General features: G+C 45.5%; 1 protein-coding gene across 2 annotated transcripts in view; it reads left to right on the plus strand.

The window, feature by feature from the left end:
• The window catches only part of NLRP8 (NLR family pyrin domain containing 8), a 40,798-nt gene continuing 20,417 nt past the window's right edge, over positions 672-21,052 (plus strand). For both annotated transcript variants that reach the window (NM_001317000.1, NM_001433706.1), the window contains exons 1-5: positions 672-1,109; positions 5,378-5,452; positions 7,341-8,940; positions 14,907-15,077; positions 19,053-19,220. In NM_001317000.1, coding sequence (NP_001303929.1) covers positions 743-1,109; positions 5,378-5,452; positions 7,341-8,940; positions 14,907-15,077; positions 19,053-19,220 — 2,381 coding nt within the window. In that variant the 5' untranslated portion in view covers positions 672-742. The remainder of the gene's footprint in view (positions 1,110-5,377; positions 5,453-7,340; positions 8,941-14,906; positions 15,078-19,052; positions 19,221-21,052) is intronic.

Consider the following 21,052-nt stretch of genomic DNA (forward strand, 5'->3'; position numbering starts at 1 on the left):
AATTTACACTCCCACACACAGAGTATAAGTGTTCCTTTTTCTCTGCGACTTCACCAGCATCTGTTATTGCTTGACTTTTTAATAATCACCATTCTGACTGGTGTGAGATGACATCTCGTTGTGGTTTTGATTTGCATCTCTCTAATACATGATCCATTTTTTAAGAATACAGCATCTGTTATTGCTTGACTTTTTAATAATCACCATTCTGACTGGTGTGAGATGACATCTCGTTGTGGTTTTGATTTGCATCTCTCTAATACATGATCCATTTTTTTAAGAATAAAAACTTTGTTGAATTTGAGATCACTTTTAATCTAATGGAGCCTTCTAACCAACCATATATTTTCTAGATTTTAGCTTCACTGAATTATTTTACCTGCTTCTAATTTTTCTTTTCGCTAAACCTTTTGTGAAGGCTTTGATATTTTGCTTGCCTCTTCCCCAAAAGAAGTCATGGAGAATAGAAACTACAAACAATCCATTAGTCTAATGGACTAATCCCAAACATTCCATGCATCTTCAGTTTTTCCATAGGGCAGAGAATCTTTGAGGAAAGGAGGTAAAGGGAGTACCCGGCACGCAGAATACCTGCCAAGTAAGCATTACACGAATCTGTTTTCTTGGGTAGTGTTTTCATCTTCTTGTTTTATTGTTTTATGTCTCTGCAGGTCTCGTGTTTCTCTCTTCCAATCGGTTGTCTTTATCGTGGACACTGAGGTGTTCTCTGCCTTGACTAAAGATGAGTGACGTGAATCCACCCTCTGACACCCCCATTCCCTTTTCATCCTCCTCCACTCACAGTTCTCATATTCCGCCCTGGACATTCTCTTGCTACCCCGGCTCCCCATGTGAAAATGGGGTCATGCTGTACATGAGAAACGTGAGCCATGAGGAGCTACAACGGTTCAAGCAGCTCTTACTGACTGAGCTCAGTACTGGCACCATGCCCATCACCTGGGACCAGGTCGAGACAGCCAGCTGGGCAGAGGTGGTTCATCTCTTGATAGAGCGTTTCCCTGGACGACGCGCTTGGGATGTGACTTCGAACATCTTTGCCATTATGAACTGTGATAAAATGTGTGTTGTAGTCCGCAGAGAGATAAATGGTGAGTGTTGATCTGGTGGATAAAGTGGGGGTGGGCTTGGCTGCTGGGCAGCTAAACTACTCTAGTCACCACCCCTATCACTTATTGGCCTTCTGAGCAAGAAAGCAAACAGTGGAGGAAGATAATGGATCTAACCCAAAGGCAAAGACTGTCATACGGGCATTTTTTTAATTTTATTTTTCTGAGATGGGGTTTCGCTCTTCTTGCCCAGGCTGAAGTGCAATGGCACAATCTCGGCTCACTGCAAACCCCGCCTCCCAGGTACAGGTGATTCTCCTGCCTCAGCCTCCTGAGTAGCTGGGATTACAGGCACCCACCACCATGCCTGGGTAATTTTTTTTTATTTTTAGTAGAGACGGGGTTTCACCATGTTGGCCAGGCTGGTCTCGAACTACTGACCTCAGGTAATCCGCCTGCCTTGGCCCCCCAAAGTGCTGGGATTGCAGGTGTGAGCCACTGTGCCCAGCCCATATGGGCCTATTTTTTAAAAACTTAACTGAATACTGCTTATATGAGGTGAACGTTAAATGAAGTCATAGAGAAGTAGGAAGTAAAATAGTGGAAAAGCATATGCTATGGAAACAGCAGAAGACAGCTGGTATAGCTATGGTGATGTCAGGAGTGCTATATTTAAAGCAAGAAGGTTAAACACTTTAAAAGGCCATTTCGCAGCAACAAAGGGTGAATCCCACTGGAGGATATTGTAATCCAAAACCTCATCTTCAATATGAATAAAGCAGAGCTGGACTACAGTCATCCCCTTATCCAAGGTTTTGCTTTCTGAAGTTTGGGTTGATCATGGCCAAAAATAGATGAGTACAGTACACTGAGATATTCTGAGACAGAGAGAGACCACATTTACATACCGTTTATGATAGTATAGTATTATAATTGTTCTATTTCATTATTATTGTTAATCTCTTACTGTACCTAATTTATAATTTAAACTTTTATCATAGATCGGTATGTATTTTTTTTCTATTTTGAGATGGAGTCTTCATTCTGTCACACAGGCTGGAGTGCAGTGGTGTGATCTCAGCTCACTGCAACCTCCACCTCCCAGGTTCAAGCAATTCTCATGCCTCAGCCTCCCCAGTAGCTGGGATTACAGGTGCGCACCACCACACCCAGCTAATTTTTGTATTTTTAGTAGAAACGGGGTTTCACCATGTTGGCCAGGCTGGTTTCAAACTCCTGACCTTAGGTGATTTGCCTGCCTCGGCCTCCCAAAGTGCTGGAATTACAGGTGTGAGCCACCACACCCGGCCTAGATATGTATTTAAAAAAATCAGTATCCACATTGTTCAGTACTATCCACAGTTTCAGATATCCACCGGGGATCTTGGAACATAGACCCTGCAGAGAAGGGGGGACTACTGTATTAAAGGAAAATACACCAATCCAGAAACATGATAGGAGCTGTGAACCCGCCTCTCCCAATAGCTGATATTACAAGTAGTCAGTCTCATTGGTAAGAATGGAGAAAACGTCAGCTCCACAGTTTTAAACATAAACACAGGAGAGTGGGTGCCTTACGTCTCCTTAGCCACTGGCACCCCAACAGCTGGCTCAGCACCTAGCATGTCATAGGTGCTCAAATATTAGATGGCTAGAGAGTAATTGATTGTGAAAAGGGACTTTCTTTTGATAAGGCAGCCTAGGAAGTCCTCTTTGAGGAAATGATGCTAAGGTTGAGACCTAACACAGGAGGAAATAGCTCATCATGTGAAAAGGAGAGAGAGTCACCGGAAAAGAAAATCAGAGGGGATGGAAACCCCGTGACCCAGTGGTAGAGAAAATCTTAGTGTTAAACAGAAAATGTTAATATTTATGAAAACCTGATGAAAAATACACAGAGAGGCCAGGCACGGTGGCTCACGCCTGTAATCCCAGCACTTTGGGAGGCAGAGGTGGGTGGATCACCCAAGGTCAGGAGTTCAAGACCAGCCCGGCCAACATGGTGAAACCCAGTCTCTACTAAAACTACAAAAAAAAAAAAAATAGCCGGGCGTGGTGACGGGTGCCTGTAATCCCAGCTATTCGGGAGGCTAAGGCAAGAGAATTGCTTGAACCCAGGAGGCAGAGGTTGCAGAGGGCTAAGATCATGCCACTGCACTCCAGCCTGGGTGACAAAAGCAGAACTCCATCTCAAGAAACACACACACACACACACACACAGAGACACACGTACGCAGTTGATCCTCATTGTTCATGGATTCTGTATTCGTGAATGTGCCTACTCATTAAAATGTATTCGTAACCCCCAAATCAATACTTACAGCGCTTTCAAGATCATTCCCAGACAGCAACGCAGCAAAAAAATCGAGCTGACCTCCTAGCCGAGGTCAAACAAGGTGACGCTCTGCCTTCTGGCTTTAGCTCTCACCCCGTAAGCCAGTGTCATTTCCACGCCTATGTGGTGCCACACTTTTGTGCTTTGAGTTGGTGGTTTTGCTGTTTAAAATAGCACCCAGGCTGGGCACGATGGCTCACGCCTATAATCCCAGCAGTCTGAAAGGCCGAGGTGGGGCCAGGCGCAGTGGCTCACGCCTATAATCCCAGCACTTTGGGAGGCCGAGGCGGGAGGATCATGAGGTCAGGAGTTTGAGACCAGCCTGGCTAACACGGTGAAACCGCATCTCTACTAAAAATACAGAAATTAGCCGGGCGTGGTGGCGCACGCCTGTAGTCCCAGCTACTTGGGAAGCTGAGGCAGAAGAATCGCTTGAACCCAGGAGGCAGAGGTTGCAGTGAGCTGAGATCACACCACTGCACTCCAGCCTGGGTGACAGAGTGAGACTTAGTCTCAAAAAAAATAAGAATAAAAATAAAAATAAAAATGGTACCCAAAACTAGTGCTGATGTGCCTTTCCATGTTCCTCAGGGCAAGAAGGCCATGCTGTGCCTTAGGGAGAAAATACGCTTGTTAGCTGAGCTTCCTTCAGGCAGGATTTATCAGTGTGGTTGACCACGAGCTCAATGTTAAATAATCAACAATATGTACTAAATAAGGTGTCTTTAAACAAAAACACATGTAAAACAAGTTTTTATATTGATCAGTCCATGAAAATGTTGTAACCAGAGACTAGCAGGAAACAAACGTTGTGTTTTCCTGGGGGCAATGGTTCAGTATTAGCGAATTTGGTGTTCACAAGAATTTTATAGACGAGAACTACCACACATAACAAGAATCAATGACTATATGTGTATGTGTATGTAGAGATATACACGTGTATGTACACATATGTGCACACATACATAGATATTAAGCTAGAAGTTCCTTGGTATCCATGGGGGATTGGTTCCAGGCTCTCCCTCAAGGGTACTGAACAAATTCATGGGTGCTCAACTCCTTCATGTAAAATGGCATAGTATTTGCATAGAACCCATACACATCCTCCCACAGACTTAAAATCACTCTAAATTACTTATAATACCCAACACAATGTAAATGCTATGTAAATAGTTGTTATCCTGTATTGGGTTTTTTATTTTTTTGAGACAAGGTCTTACTCTATTACCCAGGTTGGAGTGGAGTGGTATGATCATGGCTCCCTTCAGCCTCTGCCTCCTGAGCTCAAGCAATCCTCCTGCCTCAGCCTCCTGAGTGGTTAGGACTATAGGCATGCCACCATGCCTGGCTAATTATTTTTTATTTTTTTAGTAGAGTTGAGGTCTTGCTATGTTGCCCAAGCTGGTCTCGAACTCCTTGGCTCAAGCAATCCTCCTGCCTCAGCCTCCCAAAGTGCTGGGATTACAGGCGTGAGCCACAGTGCCCAGCCTCGTATTGGTTTTTTAATTGTATTATTTTATTGTTGTATTTTTATTGGGTTTTTAGTTTATGTTCCATCCTCAGTTGGTTGATCCCACCGATGTAGATCCCACGGTAATGAAAGGCCGACTGGACGTATAGATACACCCCTACGTAGATATTAAACTGTGTATGGATTTTACATACACTTGTGTGTGTAAGAGTATGTGTGTATTTATATTTCTCCCTCAGTGTCTGGCTGGGCTATCCATTTATAACATGTTTTTGAACACCTTACTCAATGCATTGTAGAACAACACCTTTTCTCATTTCCTAAAATTGCTGTGATAGAGATAGATCTAGGTGATTTTCTTCTCCCTGAACGGAGGTGGTGAGAGGATGAGACTCTGAAGCCATGTGGCTGCTTCTGTCCTAAAAAGGCCATTGGCTCCATGCTGTTTCCCTGCTACCAAGATCTTATCATTCCCGTGGAACAGCCTCCTTTTTTCTGTTACAGCCATTCTGCCTACCTTGGAACCAGAGGACTTGAATGTGGGAGAAACACAGGTGAATCTGGAGGAAGGAGAATCTGGTATGTGCCTGTATCACAGCAGACCCTGGTGAAAAAATGGGCTATGGACTGGGATGAGCTGCTCAGTTGCTAAGGCAAGCCAGATTTTAAGTTACCATGTCCAGTGTTTCTTCTACAATCAGAACCAACATGGCGAAACTCTGTCTCTACTAAAAACACAGAAACTAGCCGGGCGTGGTGGCAGTTGCCTGTAGTCCCAGCTACTTGGGAGGCTGAGTGAGAAGAATTGCTTGAACCCGGGAGGCGGAGGGTTGCAGTGAGGTGAGATCACGCCACTGCACTCTTGGGTGACAGATTGAGACTCCATCTCAAAAAAAATAATAAAATAAAAAAACAGACACAAACCATTGGCTCAGCGGTCCCCAACCCCCGGGCCATGGACTAGTACCAGTCTGTGGCCTGTTAGGAACTGGGCCACACAGCAGGAGGTGAGTGGCAGGGAGCAACCAAAGCTTCATCTGTATTTACAGCTGCTCCCTATTGCTCACATTACCTCCTGGGCTCTGCCTCCTGTCAGATCAGCAGTGGCATCAGATTCTCATAGGAGTGCAAACCCTCTCGTGAACTGTGCATGCGAGGGATCTAGGCTGTGCTCTCCTGAGAATCTAATGCCTGATCCGTCACCGTCTCCCATCACCCCTGGATGGGACCATCGAGTTGCGGGAAAACAAGCTCAGGGCTCCCAGTGACTCTACATTATACTGAGTTGTATAATTATTTCATTACATATTATAATGTAATAATAATAGAAATAAAGTACACAATAAACGTAATGCACTTGAATTATCCCAAAACCATCCCCCGCCACCTGGTCCATGGAAAACTTGTCTTCCACTTGGGGACCACTTCAATAGAGTGTGTCTCTATTTCTTTCTTTCTTTCTTTCTTTCTTTATTTTTTTTGAGACGGAGTCTCGCTCTGTCGCCCAGGCTGGAGTGCAGTGGCGTGATCTCTCAGCTCACTGCAACCTTCTGCCTCCCAGGTTCAAGTGATTCTCCTGCCTTAGCCTCCTGCGTAGCTGGGATTACAGGCACATGCCACCACGCCCAGCTAACTTTTGTATGTTTAGTAGAGATGGGGTTTCACCATGTTAGCCAGGCTGGTCTCAAACTCCTAACCTCGTGCCCGCCTCGGCCTCCCAAAGTGCTGGGATTACAGGCGTAAGCCACTGTGCCTGGCCTTTTTTTTTTTTTTTTTTTTTTTTTTTAAGACAGAGTCTCACTCTGTCACCCACACTGGAGTGCAGTGGCGCAATCTTGGCTCACTGGAACCTCTGCCGCCTGGATTCAAGCAATTCTCCTGCCTCCACCTCCTGAGTAGCTGGGATTACCGGCGTGTGCACCACCACGCCTGGCTAATTTTGTATTTTTAGTAGAGACAGGGTTTCACCATGTTAGCCAGGCTGGTCTTGAACTCCTGACCCCAAGTGATCCACCATCCTCAGCCTCCCAAAGTGCTGGGATTACAGGTACAAGCCGCCACACCCGGCCCTCCCAAGTATTTCTGATTTGAATGGAGATAACACGGCTAACACTACAGCAGCGATCTTCTATCTGTGAGGCAAGAAATACAAAGAAAGGGCTGAGAGAATCGTGATGCTGCTGGACCTGAAACTATGGCGCCACTGAACCTAATTTCAACAGCTTTACGCCCGCCATACTTCTCACGTAGAAAGCAGTCCTTGTTTTGTTTAAGCCACTTCAAGCTGAGTTTTCTGTTCGTTGGTGCTTCCTAGTTGACACAGCAGTATCAGGAAAGGTTATTTCATTTATGCAAGGGCATCACGGGGCTTCACGTAGACATCGAGACTGGTTTTCTTATTGCTCTATTAGTTCTTGCAATTCACTCTGATGTCATACCCTTTATTTCTCCCATCTCACAAATCTAGGTAAAATACGGCGGTATAAATCGAATGTGATGGAAAAGTTTTTCCCCATATGGGACATTACGACTTGGCCTGGAAACCAGAGGGACTTCTTCTACCAAGGTGTACACAGGCACGAGGAGTACTTACCATGTCTGCTTCTGCCCAAAAGACCCCAGGGTAGACAGCCCAAGACCGTGGCCATACAGGGAGCTCCTGGGATCGGAAAAACAATCCTGGCCAAAAAGGTGATGTTTGAGTGGGCCAGAAACAAGTTCTACGCCCACAAGCGCTGGTGTGCTTTCTACTTCCATTGCCAAGAGGTGAACCAGACGACAGACCAGAGCTTCTCCGAGCTGATTGAGCAAAAGTGGCCTGGATCTCAGGACCTCGTGTCAAAGATTATGTCCAAACCCGACCAACTTCTGCTGCTCTTGGATGGCTTTGAGGAGCTCACATCTACCCTCATTGACAGACTGGAGGACCTGAGTGAAGACTGGAGGCAGAAATTGCCTGGGTCTGTCCTACTGAGCAGTTTGCTGAGCAAAACGATGCTTCCAGAGGCCACGCTACTGATCATGATAAGATTTACCTCTTGGCAGACATGCAAGCCCTTGCTGAAATGTCCCTCTCTCGTAACCCTTCCGGGGTTTAATACGATGGAAAAAATCAAGTATTTCCAGATGTATTTTGGACACACAGAGGAGGGAGACCAAGTCTTGAGTTTCGCCATGGAAAACACCATTCTCTTCTCCATGTGCCGGGTCCCTGTGGTTTGCTGGATGGTCTGCTCTGGTCTGAAACAGCAAATGGAGAGAGGAAACAATCTCACACAGTCATGTCCAAATGCCACCTCTGTGTTCGTCCGGTATATTTCTAGCTTGTTTCCCACCAGAGCTGAGAACTTTTCCAGAAAGATCCACCAAGCACAACTGGAAGGTCTGTGTCACTTGGCCGCAGACAGCATGTGGCACAGGAAATGGGTGTTAGGTAAAGAAGATCTTGAGGAAGCCAAGCTGGATCAGACGGGAGTCACCGCCTTCCTTGGCATGAGTATTCTTCGGAGAATTGCAGGTGAGGAAGACCACTATGTCTTTACCCTCGTGACTTTTCAGGAATTTTTTGCGGCCTTGTTTTATGTTCTCTGTTTCCCACAAAGACTCAAAAATTTTCATGTGTTGAGCCACGTGAATATCCAGCGCCTGATAGCGAGTCCCAGAGGAAGCAAAAGCTATCTCTCTCACATGGGACTTTTCTTATTCGGTTTTCTGAACGAGGCCTGCGCTTCGGCCGTGGAACAGTCATTCCAATGCAAGGTGTCTTTCGGTAATAAGAGGAAACTGCTGAAAGTCATACCTCTGTTGCATAAATGTGACCCACCTTCTCCGGGCAGTGGGGTCCCGCAGTTATTCTACTGTCTGCATGAAATCCGGGAGGAAGCCTTTGTAAGCCAAGCCCTAAATGATTATCATAAAGTTGTCTTGAGAATTGGCAACAACAAAGAAGTTCAAGTGTCTGCTTTTTGCCTGAAGCGGTGTCAATATTTGCATGAGGTGGAACTGACCGTCACCCTGAACTTCATGAACGTGTGGAAGCTCAGCTCCAGCTCCCATCCTGGCTCTGAGTAAGTGCTTCGGTCCCTCCTTGGGTAGCCCGTCCTACCCGGAGGCCTTGACTATGGTGTCCCGGGTGTTTAGGGGGTCAATCTGCAAACCTTTCTGATCTCTTTCCTAGCCTAGTTTGCACAGTACTTCTGTTGCTTTGTTTTGTTTTGTTTTGTTTTTTGAGACAGAGTGTCACTCTGTTGCCCAGGCTGGAGTGCAGTGGTGCAATCTCAGCTCACTGCAACCTCTGCCTTCTGGGTTCAAGCGATTCTCCTGCCTCAGCCTCCCGAGTAGCTAGGATTACAAACGCATGCCACTGCACCCGGCTAATTTTGGCATTTTTAGTAGAGATGGGGTTTCACCATGTTGGCCAGGCTGGTCTCAAACTCCTGACCTCAGGTCATCCGCCCACCTCGGCCTCCCAAATTGCTGGGATTACAGGCATGAGCCATCGCACGCGGCCAGTACTTCTGTTTTAAAACAAACATATATCTACGGTGATACATGTTTGTTTTACAAACTGTCCCAGTTTGTTTAGGATTAAGGAGATTTCTCAGACCCAGGACTTTGTTTTACTGCCAGGACTGAAGGTGTTCCTGGGATATAGGACTTTCCGTGCTAAACCTGGGAGAATACTGGGCAAAATGAGATCCCTTGTTCACCCTCCCTCCCTCTGTGCTGCATGCCCATAAAGATGGGACCTTGCTTCATCTATCACTCCTACTTCTGTTTTTGAGATAGGGTCTCTTTCTGTCACCCAGGAAGGCAGTGGTACGATCGTGGCTCACTGCAACCTCAACCTTCTGGGCTCAAACAATTCTCCCACCTCAGCCTCCCAGGTATCTGGAATCACAGGCATGCACCACCATGCCTGGCTAATTTTTTATTTTTTTGGAGAGATGAGGTTTCCCTGTGTTACCCAGGCTAATCTTCAACTCCCGGCCTCAAGCAATCTTCCCACCTTGGCCTCCCAAAGCACTGGAATTACAGGCATGAGCCGCTGCGCCCAGCCTCACTCCTACTTTTGTGTATCAGAAGCTTTTGGTCTCAAGGAAAGTGCTGCTAATGGAACTTAACGTGATGATGAAGACATCCTGAATCTGTCTTATCCAATACAGGAGCCACTGGCCACAGGCAACCACTGAGCTCTTGGAATGTGGCTGGTGTGACCGAGTGAATGAACGTTTACATTTTATTTAACTTTACTGAATTTAAATGTAGATAGCTACATGCAGCTAGTAGCTACCATATCAGACAGCACACCTCTAGAGGGTCTTTCTTTCCGTGTAAAAATATCTTTTCCATCTTGAATTAAAAGAAACAAGCTGGGTGCCGTGGTTCATGCCTGTAATCCCAGCACTTTGGGAGGCCGAGGCAGGTGGATCACTTGAGGCCAGGAGTTCGAGACCATGCTGGCCAACATGGTAAAACCCCGTTTCTACTAAAAACACAAAAATTAGCCAGGCATGGTGGCGGGCACCTGTAATCCCAGCTACTCGGGAGGCTGAGGCAGGAGAATCACTTGAACCCAGGAGGCAGAGGCTGCAGATAGCCGAGATCGCGCCACTATCTTAAAAAAGAAAAAATAATAATTATATATATATATATATATATATATATATATATATATATATATATATATATAAAATAAGGTTGTTAAACGTGTTAAAATCTACAACACACTGAATAAGTCCAGTCCTTCATTTAGTGCTCAGTAGATACAAACTGTTACCACTCATGTAATTCCTCATCCCCTCCACTCGACCAAAACTCTTCCAGAAGATCTTTATTTTGGCAAATATAATGGATTTCTTTTTCTTAAGAAGTGGCAAAAAGCACTGACTACTCATTTCTTCATATTGGTTGATATTTATTTGGCATTTGCCATATAGCAGACACAATGTCAAGCACTTGCTTTATGTGAATTATTTCTCCCTTCAACTCCATGTTGCACTGGAGGTCAGGTGTATGGAGCACCTTGTCCAAGGTCACACATCTGGTCGAAGCTAAGACGAGCTAAAATTTGACCCCCGTGGCTATGACGAGAAGAGAGAGGCGATTTAGACTGACCCCTGGCGAGAGAGGGGACATTGTCCTTCTGCTGCATAATGGAAATGCCTTCTTGTTCCTTAACTGCTCTGCGAAAAGGAACCACAATCTCTTCCAGATTCCTGTCTTTCCATGAAAGACTGCATAAGTCTTCAGCATATGGATGTGTAGCGCTAATGCTCATCCTAGACATATACTGGGCTAGTGTGTGGATAGATAAGTAAAAGTTGGTCTCTCCTTATGGGATGAGACATTTAAATTTCAAGTAATTTAAGTTCTGTTCCATTCTTCACCATGACAAGCAGTGTGCAGGGCTTCTCAGCCATGGCTGAGTTTCTCCAGGGCAGAGGTAAGAAAGCTACAGCCAGGAGGCCAAACCTAGCTTTCTGCTTGTTTAGGTAAATACAGTTTGATTGGAGCCCGGCCATGCTTGTGACATATTGTCTGTGACTGTTAACCACACTGCCGCGGCAGGACTGAGTCATTGCCAGGAAATTTACGGCCAGCAAAGCTGAATATATTTGCTACTTGGTCAATTACAGGAAAAATTTGCCAACCCCTGCTCTAGCATATATTTTTATTTATTGTCTTATTATTTTTTGTAGAGATGGGGGTCTCACTTTGTTACCCAGCCTGGTCTTGATCTCCTGGGCTCAAGAAATGCTCTCGCCTCTGCCTGCCAAAGTGCGGGGATTACAGGTGTGAGCCACCGCGTCCAGCCAGGGCCTATTTTTTGTTTTTTGTTTGTTTGTTTGCTTGTTTGTTTTGAGACGGAGTCTCATTCTGTCGCCCAAGCTGGAGTGCAGTGGTGAGGTCTCGGATCACTGCAACCTCCACCTCCTGGGTTCACGCCATTCTCCTGCCTCAGCCTCCCGAGTAGCTGGGACTACAGGCGCCCGCCAACACGCCAAGCTAATTTTTTGTATTTTTAATAGAGACGGGGTTTCACTGTATTAGCCAGGATGGTCTCGATCTCCTGACCTCATGATCTGCCTGCCTCGGCCTCCCAAAGTGCTGGGATTACAGGTGTGAGCCACCATGCCTAGCCAGGGTGTATTTTTTTGTTTTTTTGTATGTATGTATGTTTGTTAGTTTGTTTTGAGACAGAGTCTTGCTCTGTCTCCCAGGCTGGAGTGCAGTTGCGTGATCTCGGCTCACTGCAAGCTCCGCCTCCCTGGTTCACGCCATTCTCCTGCCTCAGCCTCCCCAGTAGCTGGGACTACAGGCGCCCGCCACCACGCCTGGCTAATTTTTTGTATTTTTTAGTAGAGACGGGGTTTCACCCTGTTAGCCAGAATGGTCTTGATCTCCTGACCTCATGATCCACCCGCCTCGGCCTCCCAAAGTGCTGGGATTACAGGCGTGAGCCACCGCGCCCGGCCAGGGTGTATTTTTTTAAAAGGAATTGCTGCATCATGAGATACTCACACATCACATCTCTAACTTTATCAGCAGGGATATCACTTCATATTTCTTGGGTATGTCCCTGAACCAAACTGAGGGTCAGGCTGCTTATTCTCACAGCCCAATAACCAGATGCAGATGAACTGGGAAACAAGAGAGTCTATTTCTGTAACTGGGTACACAGGGAGAAGGCCAAGAAATATCACCAGACCAATTAAAAATTACAAAGTTTTCCAGAGCTTATATGCCTTCTAAGCTATATGTCTACGTGTAAGTGTTCATTCCTCTGAAGACGTAAGTGATTAACTTCTTCTAATCTATAAGGAAGGTCTGAGTCCTGAAGACCTTCCTCTGGAGCCTTAGTAAATTTACTTAAACTAGATGGGTCCAGGTGCTGAGGTCATTACCTTTATCTTGTCTCCTGCTAAATCATGGAGGCTTGGGGGGTTCTTTCAGACCCCAATAAAACTTGTTTGTGGAGGTCTGGGGAGTTTCTTCAGACCCCTAATAAAAACTTGTTTAATCCTGAATGGGTCCTGTTGAGAATTCCTTCATTATCCTGTCATACTTCAAGGCCCAGGAAAGGCCTGGGCAAAACTCTTGGTGGTCTTTTGTTACATTCCAGCCTTTGTGTGAGGGCACTGGCTCTGTCAGCTTTTAATATTTAACTTACCCACTCAGTCGGTGCTGAAACTGTTGTGATGGAGGCCTGCCTGTTCAGCTGCTAGCGAGACCTGGCCTGCCACAGGTAGAATGAATTCTGTTCACTCAGATATTGAATGGCTACATCAGACCATGTTTTTTTCATGTCTACTCCCAACTTATGTGGGCAATTCCAACACATTCCACAAAATCACATTCAAGGGGCCCTCCAGTCCCTGAGGACCTTTTATTAGGGAGGGGAATAAACACCAGAGCTTGTTGTTCAACTTGGGGATAACTGTTGGTCACCCGACTAAGACCTCAAGAATCTAAGCACAGTGAATCACAATGTCTTTCTATGATGCTGCGTAAAGACCTGACATCCGTAGAAATCTTAAGACACGACATATTTCTTTCATGTTGGTTAGTCCATTGATCACTTTTGTATGGGTTCCTGCAGGGAGTTGATATCATTCCTACTTATTTGCATTTCTATGTATTTGACGGATGTGAAAATGGATGAATCTATTTCATGGGATTTAAATTTTATGCAAAAATTACGCTAGTGTAAATATTCTAAAAATTGCTTTTTCATCTCATGTGTCTTGGCAATGTCTATACATGCCATTTTCAATGAAGTATTCTTTGAAAAATAGGTGTGCTAGAGATGATTAAACTATTTCCCCCTTGACATACTTTTGGGTTGCTTTCAACTATTTCTCTTTTTTTTTTTTTTTTTTTTTTGAGACAGAGTCTCACACTGTCACCCGGGCTAGAGTGCAGTGGAACAATCTTGGCTCACTGCAACCTCCGCCTCCCAGGTTCAAGCGATTCTCTTTGCCTCAGCCTCCCAAGTAGCTGGGATTACAGGTGCCCACCACCACACCTGTATAATTTTTTTGTATTTTTAGTAGAGACAGGGTTTCACTATGTTGGCCAGGCTGGTCTCGAACTCCTGGCCTGGTGATCCGCCTGCCTTGGCCTCCCAGAGTGCTGGGATTACAATGTGAGCCACCGTGCCCGGCCACTTTCAACTATTTCTTTAATGCAACCAACAGCAATCTTCACATGTGTATCTTGGTCAGCCTCTCTGAAACGATTGTATGGGGAAGAATGAAAGAGAAAGTCAGCAGGTCCTTCTACGGCCAAACTACATGCCAATCTAGCTCTGGATTTTTCTTTCTTGTACTCACTGTGTCAAAAAGATTAATTTTTCCTTTATTCTGATCCTATATTTTTTTAAAAAATAAGAATTATATATACACAGGGTAAGAATGTAGGTACAGAATATAATTCAATCTCTGCCCCCCACATAAATCTCATGTAATTAAAAAAGCAATTCCTGGTTAGGCACGGTGATTCACACCTGTAACCCTAGCACTTTGGGAGGCCAAGGCAGGAGGAGCGCTTGAGCCCAGGAATTCAAGACCAGCCTGGGTAACATGGAGAATCCCTGTTTCTACAAAAAATACAAAAATCAGTCAGGTGTGGTGGCGTGTGCCTGTAACCCCAGCTCCTCAGGCAGATGAAGTGGATTGCCTGAGCCTGGGAGTTAGAGGCTGCAGCGAGCTGTGTTCAGACCACTATACTCCAGCCTGGGCGGCAGAGTGATACCTTGTCTCAAATATAAATAAATAAAAAATAAAAGCAACTTCCTTTTTTCCAAGTCATGGGAAAATACAGGGCTCTTATTTGTGACCATGAGTCTCCCTGGAATGAAATGAGAAACCTCGTGATGGTTTTTCTGAGTGCTTTATTTAAATGAGGATGTCTTAGAGTCACTAGAGGCCTATGGCCCTAACCAGGATAGGGAACACCAGCCCTGGGGTTTCCTAGTAGATTTTCTCCAGTTTAACGAAGAGGTGTTTTCTCTCTTCTCCCTTCCATGTAGAGCGCCAGAGAGCAATGGGCTGCATCGTTGGTGGCAAGACTTATGCTCTGTGTTTGCAACGAATGATAAGCTGGAAGTCCTGACTATGACCAACAGTGTTTTGGGGCCTCCTTTTTTGAAGGCTCTCGCGGCCGCACTGAGGCACCCTCAGTGCAAACTGCAAAAGCTACTGTGAGTATAACACAAATCCCACTGGAAGGAACTTTATGGAGATGGTCTGTTTCCCATCCACTTTCTTCATTCCCTCTCCACTCACACTAGACTTCCGGAAAGCACCCATGTCCAGCCTTGGACGGAGGTGCAGGAGGAATGAGTCATGGGGTGCGTGGTGAAGGAAACCACACACGGGAGCCAGGCTGACGGCTCGATCTGTCTCTAGTTACTGTTAGCTTGGTGCAAATGCCATTGCAGTTTTTGCCATTAGTGACATTTGCACCAACTTAATAGCTCTGTGTCCTTAAGTGAATGGTGTACACAGTGGGTCACGGAATTCCTGACATCTCCCTGGTGCACTTCAATGCGCCCATCCATAAAATGTTCAGCCCGGTGCTGTGGCTCACGCCTATTTACTTCAGCTCAGGTGTTCGAGACCAGTCCCAGCTACTTGGGAGGCTGAGGTGGGAGGATCACCCGAGCCCAGGAGGCAGAGGTTGCAGTGATGTTGAGCCATGATCTGGCCACTGCACTCCAGCCTGGGTGACAGAGTGAGGCCCTGTCTCAAAACAAACTATAAATAAATAAAATTAAATGATCATCACGACAGAGAGATGAAATGCAGTCCCGCACGTGAAGCCCACAGGACCGTACCTGAAGTGGAATCAGCACACTGTGTAATCCAGGGTGTGGTGGTTACTCTCTGGAGGGACACCGCCTTACAGAAGCCACGTGCGACCTGAGCACTGAGTATGGTTCACCGCTGCATTCCTTTGAAGTATTAATATGTACTATTATCCCCCCCCTTTTTTAAAACAGAGTCTCACTTTGTTGTCCAGGCTGGAGTGCAGTGGCTGGATCTCAGCTCACTGCAACCTCCCCCTCCAGGGTTCAAGCAATTCTCCTGCCTCAGCCTCCCGAGTAGCTGGGACTACAGGAATGCACCACCATGCCTGGCTAATTTTTGTATTTTTAGTAGAGATGGGGTTTCACCATGTTGGTCAGGCTAGTTTTGAACTCCTGACCTCAAGTGATCTGCCCTCCTCGGCCTCCCAAGGTGCTGGGATTACAGATGTGACCCACCATGCCCAGCCCCCATTTTTTAGCAAAGTGAGAGCTGGAGAGGTTAAGTGATTTATCTAAGATCCTGTGGCTGACAAGCCTTAGGTAAATCACTCCAAGGCAGACAGCCTTAAGCTCGTCTTCCCCAACACTCTGTGCTTCTCTAACACACCACTGTTAGCAGGTGCCTGCGTGGGGTAAGCCTCACCAAAGAGGGCACATTTGAACTGGGTTGGGAAGGATGAGATTTACATGGAAGAGGAGAAACACTACTTCATTTTTTTTCCAGGTGGGGTCTTGCTCTCTTGCCCAGGCTGGAGTACAGTGGCATGATCATGGCTTACTGCAACCTTGACCTCCTGAGCTCAAGCAATCCTCCCACCTCAGCCTCTCGAGTAGCTGGGGCCACAGGCATATCCCACCATTGCCCGGCTAATTTTTTTTTTAATTTTTTGTAGAGACAAGGTCTCCCTAGGTTGCCCAGGCTGGCTTTGAACTGCTGATCTTAAGTGATCCACCTGTCTCAGCCTCCCAAAATGCTGGGATTATAGGTGTGAGCCATTGCAACCAGCCACTATTTTTTATAATGTAAGAGTGAGCGTGTATGCGTTGCCCACCGTCTGCTAGGCTATCTTAGGTTCTTTGCACATGAATGCTCTTAAAACTCATCCCAAGCAGTAGGTGTCCCTATTTCACAGATGAGAAACTGAGGCATGAGTTTACATCATTACTAAGCAGTCAAATCTGGCTCTAGAATCAGTTCTCTTAGCCACCACTCCATACGCTATCTCTCCAGAGTTTTTAAGATCCAAAAACCCGATAATTCACCATGTGAACCACTGGCCCCTTCCTTGAAATAAGCCACCAGGCATCACATGGCCCCTGGCCATTATCAGATATATTTTCTCTCCTATTATTGTGATAGTTATTATTCGCTCCTGCTTACTGAGTGCGTACTATGTGACAAGCAATGGGCTGAGAATTTCATGGGATTAATTCTCACAGCCATTCTAAGGAGAAAATGTCGTATGCTCTCCCTTGTAGACCTGAAACTAAACTTTAGAGAGGTTACGTGATTTGTGAAAGATGGTGCGACTAGGGATGTTAAGCTGAGAACTCAGTTCTGAATTCCATGTTGCACAGAACGGGCCCCTCCTTATGGACTGACTGAATGTAGAAGAAATAGCCGGTCGGGCGTGGTGGCTCACGCCGGTAATCCCAGCGCTTTGGGAAGCCAAGGTGGGCGGATTGCCTGAGCTCAGGAGTTCGTGACCAGCCTGGGCAACACGGTGAAACCCTGTCTCTACTAAAAATATAACAATTAGCTTGGTGTGGTGGTGCACATCTGTAATCCCAGCTACTTGGGAGGCTGAGGCAGGAGAATTGCTTGAACCTGGGAAGCGGAGGTTGCAGTGAGCCGAGATTGCGCCACTGCACTCCAGCCTGGGTAACAAAGCAAGACTCTGTCTCAAAAAAAAAAAAAAGAAAAAAAGAACTAGTTAGCCACCTCCGTTGTGGTGATGGCATCACGAATATATGCATAGTCCAAACTCATCAAATTGTATATGTTAAATATATGCAGGTTTTTTAATATCAAATCGATTATACCTCAAGGAAACTGTTTTTAAACAACTAATTAGAAAGAAAGAGATTCAGCAGTGAACATAAGCATTAGAGGTGCAAGGCAAATCTGTGTCCCTGGTTTTAGAAAAGGCGTGTGATGGCCAGGAGTGGTGGCCCATGACTGTAGTCCCAACACTTTGGGAGGCTGAGCCAGTAGGATCACTTGAGGCCAGGAGTGGAAGAGCAGCCTGGACAACATAGTGAGACCCCATATCTACAAAAATTTTTCTAAAAAGAAAGTAGATCAGAAAGTTGAGCTTTGTAGGCCGGGTGTGGTGGCTTATGCCTGTAATCCCAGCACTTTGGGAGGCCAAGGCAGGCAGATGACTTGAGGTCAGGAGTTCAAGACCAGCCTGGCCAACATAATAAAATCCTGTCTCTATTAAAAATACAAAAATTAGCCAGGCATGGTAGTGGGTGCCTGTAGTTCCAGCTACTTGGGAGGCTGAGGCAGGAGAATCACTTGAACCTGGGAGGCAGAGGTTACAGTAAGCTGAGATCGCACCACTGCACTCCAGCCTGCGCAACAGAGTGAGACTCCATCTCACAAGAAAAAAAAAAAGCTAAGCTTTGTTATTAAAATAAAGAAATATAAATAAAAATTTTAAAACCAAAAGCATGATTTTAGGAGAGTGCAGGGAAAACCAGTCCTCCGAATCCTTCAGGAATAGGATGACGTTCCCTTTGCTTTAAGAAAGCCTTTGTAGACCTCAGTCCAATCGAATTCTGATCCTGTGAGTCATTTATTTTTTTAAATTTTTTTTATTATACTTTAAGTTCTGGGGTACATGTGCAGAACGTGCAGGTTTGTTACATAGGTATACATGCGCTGTGGTGGTTTGCTGCACCCATCAACTCATCATCTACGTTAGGTATTTCTCCTAATGCTATCCCTCCCCTAGCCCCCCACCCCCCCAGAGGCCCCGGTATGTGATGTTCCCCTCCCTGTGTCCATGTGTTCTCATTGTTGAACTCCCACTTATGAGTGAGAACATGCGGTGTTTGGTTTTCTGTGCTTGTGTTAGTTTGCTGAGAATGATGGTTCCAACCCAAATGCCCATCAATGATAGACTGGATAAAGAAAATGTAGCCATTCATTTTGACTTACAGTTTTCCCAGGATAGGACCTGAATAATCACAGGTTTGTGTCACTCTTTAATGTCTGCATCCTGAATTCAGTTGTAAACCCCCTGAGAGTGGGACTGCACCTGTCCCACGTGCAGCTTCCGGGAGCCTCGTTTGTGAGGCCACAGAATTCTACGACTGTGGACGGGACCCTATTCCAAGGAGACGCTCTTCCCTCTCCAGCCTAAGGCGTGTGAATAGCACCATGTTGAACCAGGACTTAATCGGTGTTTTGACGGGGAACCAGCATCTGAGATACTTGGAAATACAACATGTGGAAGTGGAGTCCAAAGCTGTGAAGCTTCTATGCAGGGTGCTGAGATCCCCCCGGTGCCGTCTGCAGTGTCTCAGGTGAGATTTGAGAGGGGGGTTAGAGTGGGAACCGGGGTACCCGGATGGTCTTTTCAAGGGCGGTGATGAGAGGCTCAGTTTCCCTCTGTCCTTTCCTTTGATCTGCTGTTGGCTTTGTTCAACTTTAAAAGTACAATTTGGGCCGGGCGCGGTGGCTCACGACTGTAATCCCAGCACTTTGGGAGGCTGAGGCGGGAGGATCACGAGGTAGAGACCAACCTGGCCAACATGGTGAAACTCCATCTCTACTAAAAATACAAAAAATTAGCCAGCGTGGTGGCAGGCTAATCTCAGCTACTGTAATTACGGGCTGTAATCTCAGCTACTCGGGAGGCTGAGGCAGGATAATTGCTTCAGCCCGGTAGGTGGTGGTTGCAGCAAGCCAAGATCGTGCCATTGCACTCCAGCCTGAGCGACAGAGGGCGACTCTGTCTAAAAACAATAAAAATAAAAAGTGCAATTTGACCATGCTCTAGATCCGTCTGATACCAGGAAATCTGAGCCCCAGCTCCTACTGGATTGCAAAAGCTGGATATTTTCTAACTTTTTATTTTAATTTTTGTGAATACATAGTAGGCATATATATTTATGGGGTACGTAAGATGTTTTGGTTCAGGCATGCAATGTAAAATAATCACATCTTGGAGAATGGGAGATCTAGCCCTTCAAACATTTATCCTTTGTATTACAAACAATTGATTTATACTTTTAGTTATTTTGGAATGTACAATTTATTATTAACTATAGTTCCTCTGTTGTGCTAGCAAATACTAGGTCTTATTCTTTTTCAACCTGTTAACCCGTTTATGCCCGAGGCTGCAATTTTTTGAATTTTTTCAATCAGAGTTTGGTGATGACCTTGAGCAGTGAGATATAAATAACTCCCAAGTGCTTAGCATTCCAATAATGGAATCCTAGGCATAAATGGTTTTAACCATCCTGACCTTCCCCTGCTCTCCACCCTCCCACTACCCTTCCCAGCCCCTGGTAACCATCCTCCTACTCTCTATGTCCATGAGTTCAATTGTTTTGGTTTTTAGATCCCACAAATAAGTGAGAACATGCTGTTTGTCTTTCTGTGCCTGGCTTATTTCACTTAACAGAATGGTCTCCAGTTCCATCCATGTCGTTGCAAATGACTGAATCTCATTCTTTTTCATGGCTGAATGGTACTCCATTGTGTATATGTACCACATTTTCTTTATCCATTTGTCTGTTGATGGACACTTAGGTTGTTTCTGAATCTTAGCTATTGAGAGCAGAGCTACAGCAAGCATGGTAGTGCAGGCATCTCTTCGATGGACTGATTTCCTTTCTTTGGGGTATATACCAGTGGTGGATGGCTGGATCACATGGCAGCCTGAAAGAGCTGATTTTTCATCATTCAGGAATTTCATGAGCCAGTTGTTAAACAACGTTTTTAAAAATTAAATCATAGGCTTACAAATATATTAAACAACAAAAGTCATAGATTATCAAAATGCATTGTTTCCTAATCATTTTATGGTTCATTATTATCACTGCTAGGGTGCAGCAAACTTTTTCTATGACAAGCCAGGTAAGAAACACTTCTGGCCTCTGGGCCCATGCCATCATCATGATGACTCCATTCTGCCACTGCAGTGCTAAGGCTGCCGGAGTTCGTAGGTAAACAAATGGATACAGCTGTGTTCCAATAAAACTTTATGAACACTGAAACATGAATTTAATATAATTTTCATATGTCACAAAATATTCGTTTAATAATTTTTTTAACCATTTAAAAATTTTTGTGGCGGCTGGACACCGTGGCTCATGCCTGTAATCCCAGCCCTTTGGGAGGCTGAGGTGGG

Source organism: Homo sapiens, chromosome 19 (assembly GCF_000001405.40).
Source record: "Homo sapiens chromosome 19, GRCh38.p14 Primary Assembly".
NCBI classification, from domain to species: Eukaryota; Metazoa; Chordata; class Mammalia; order Primates; family Hominidae; genus Homo; species Homo sapiens.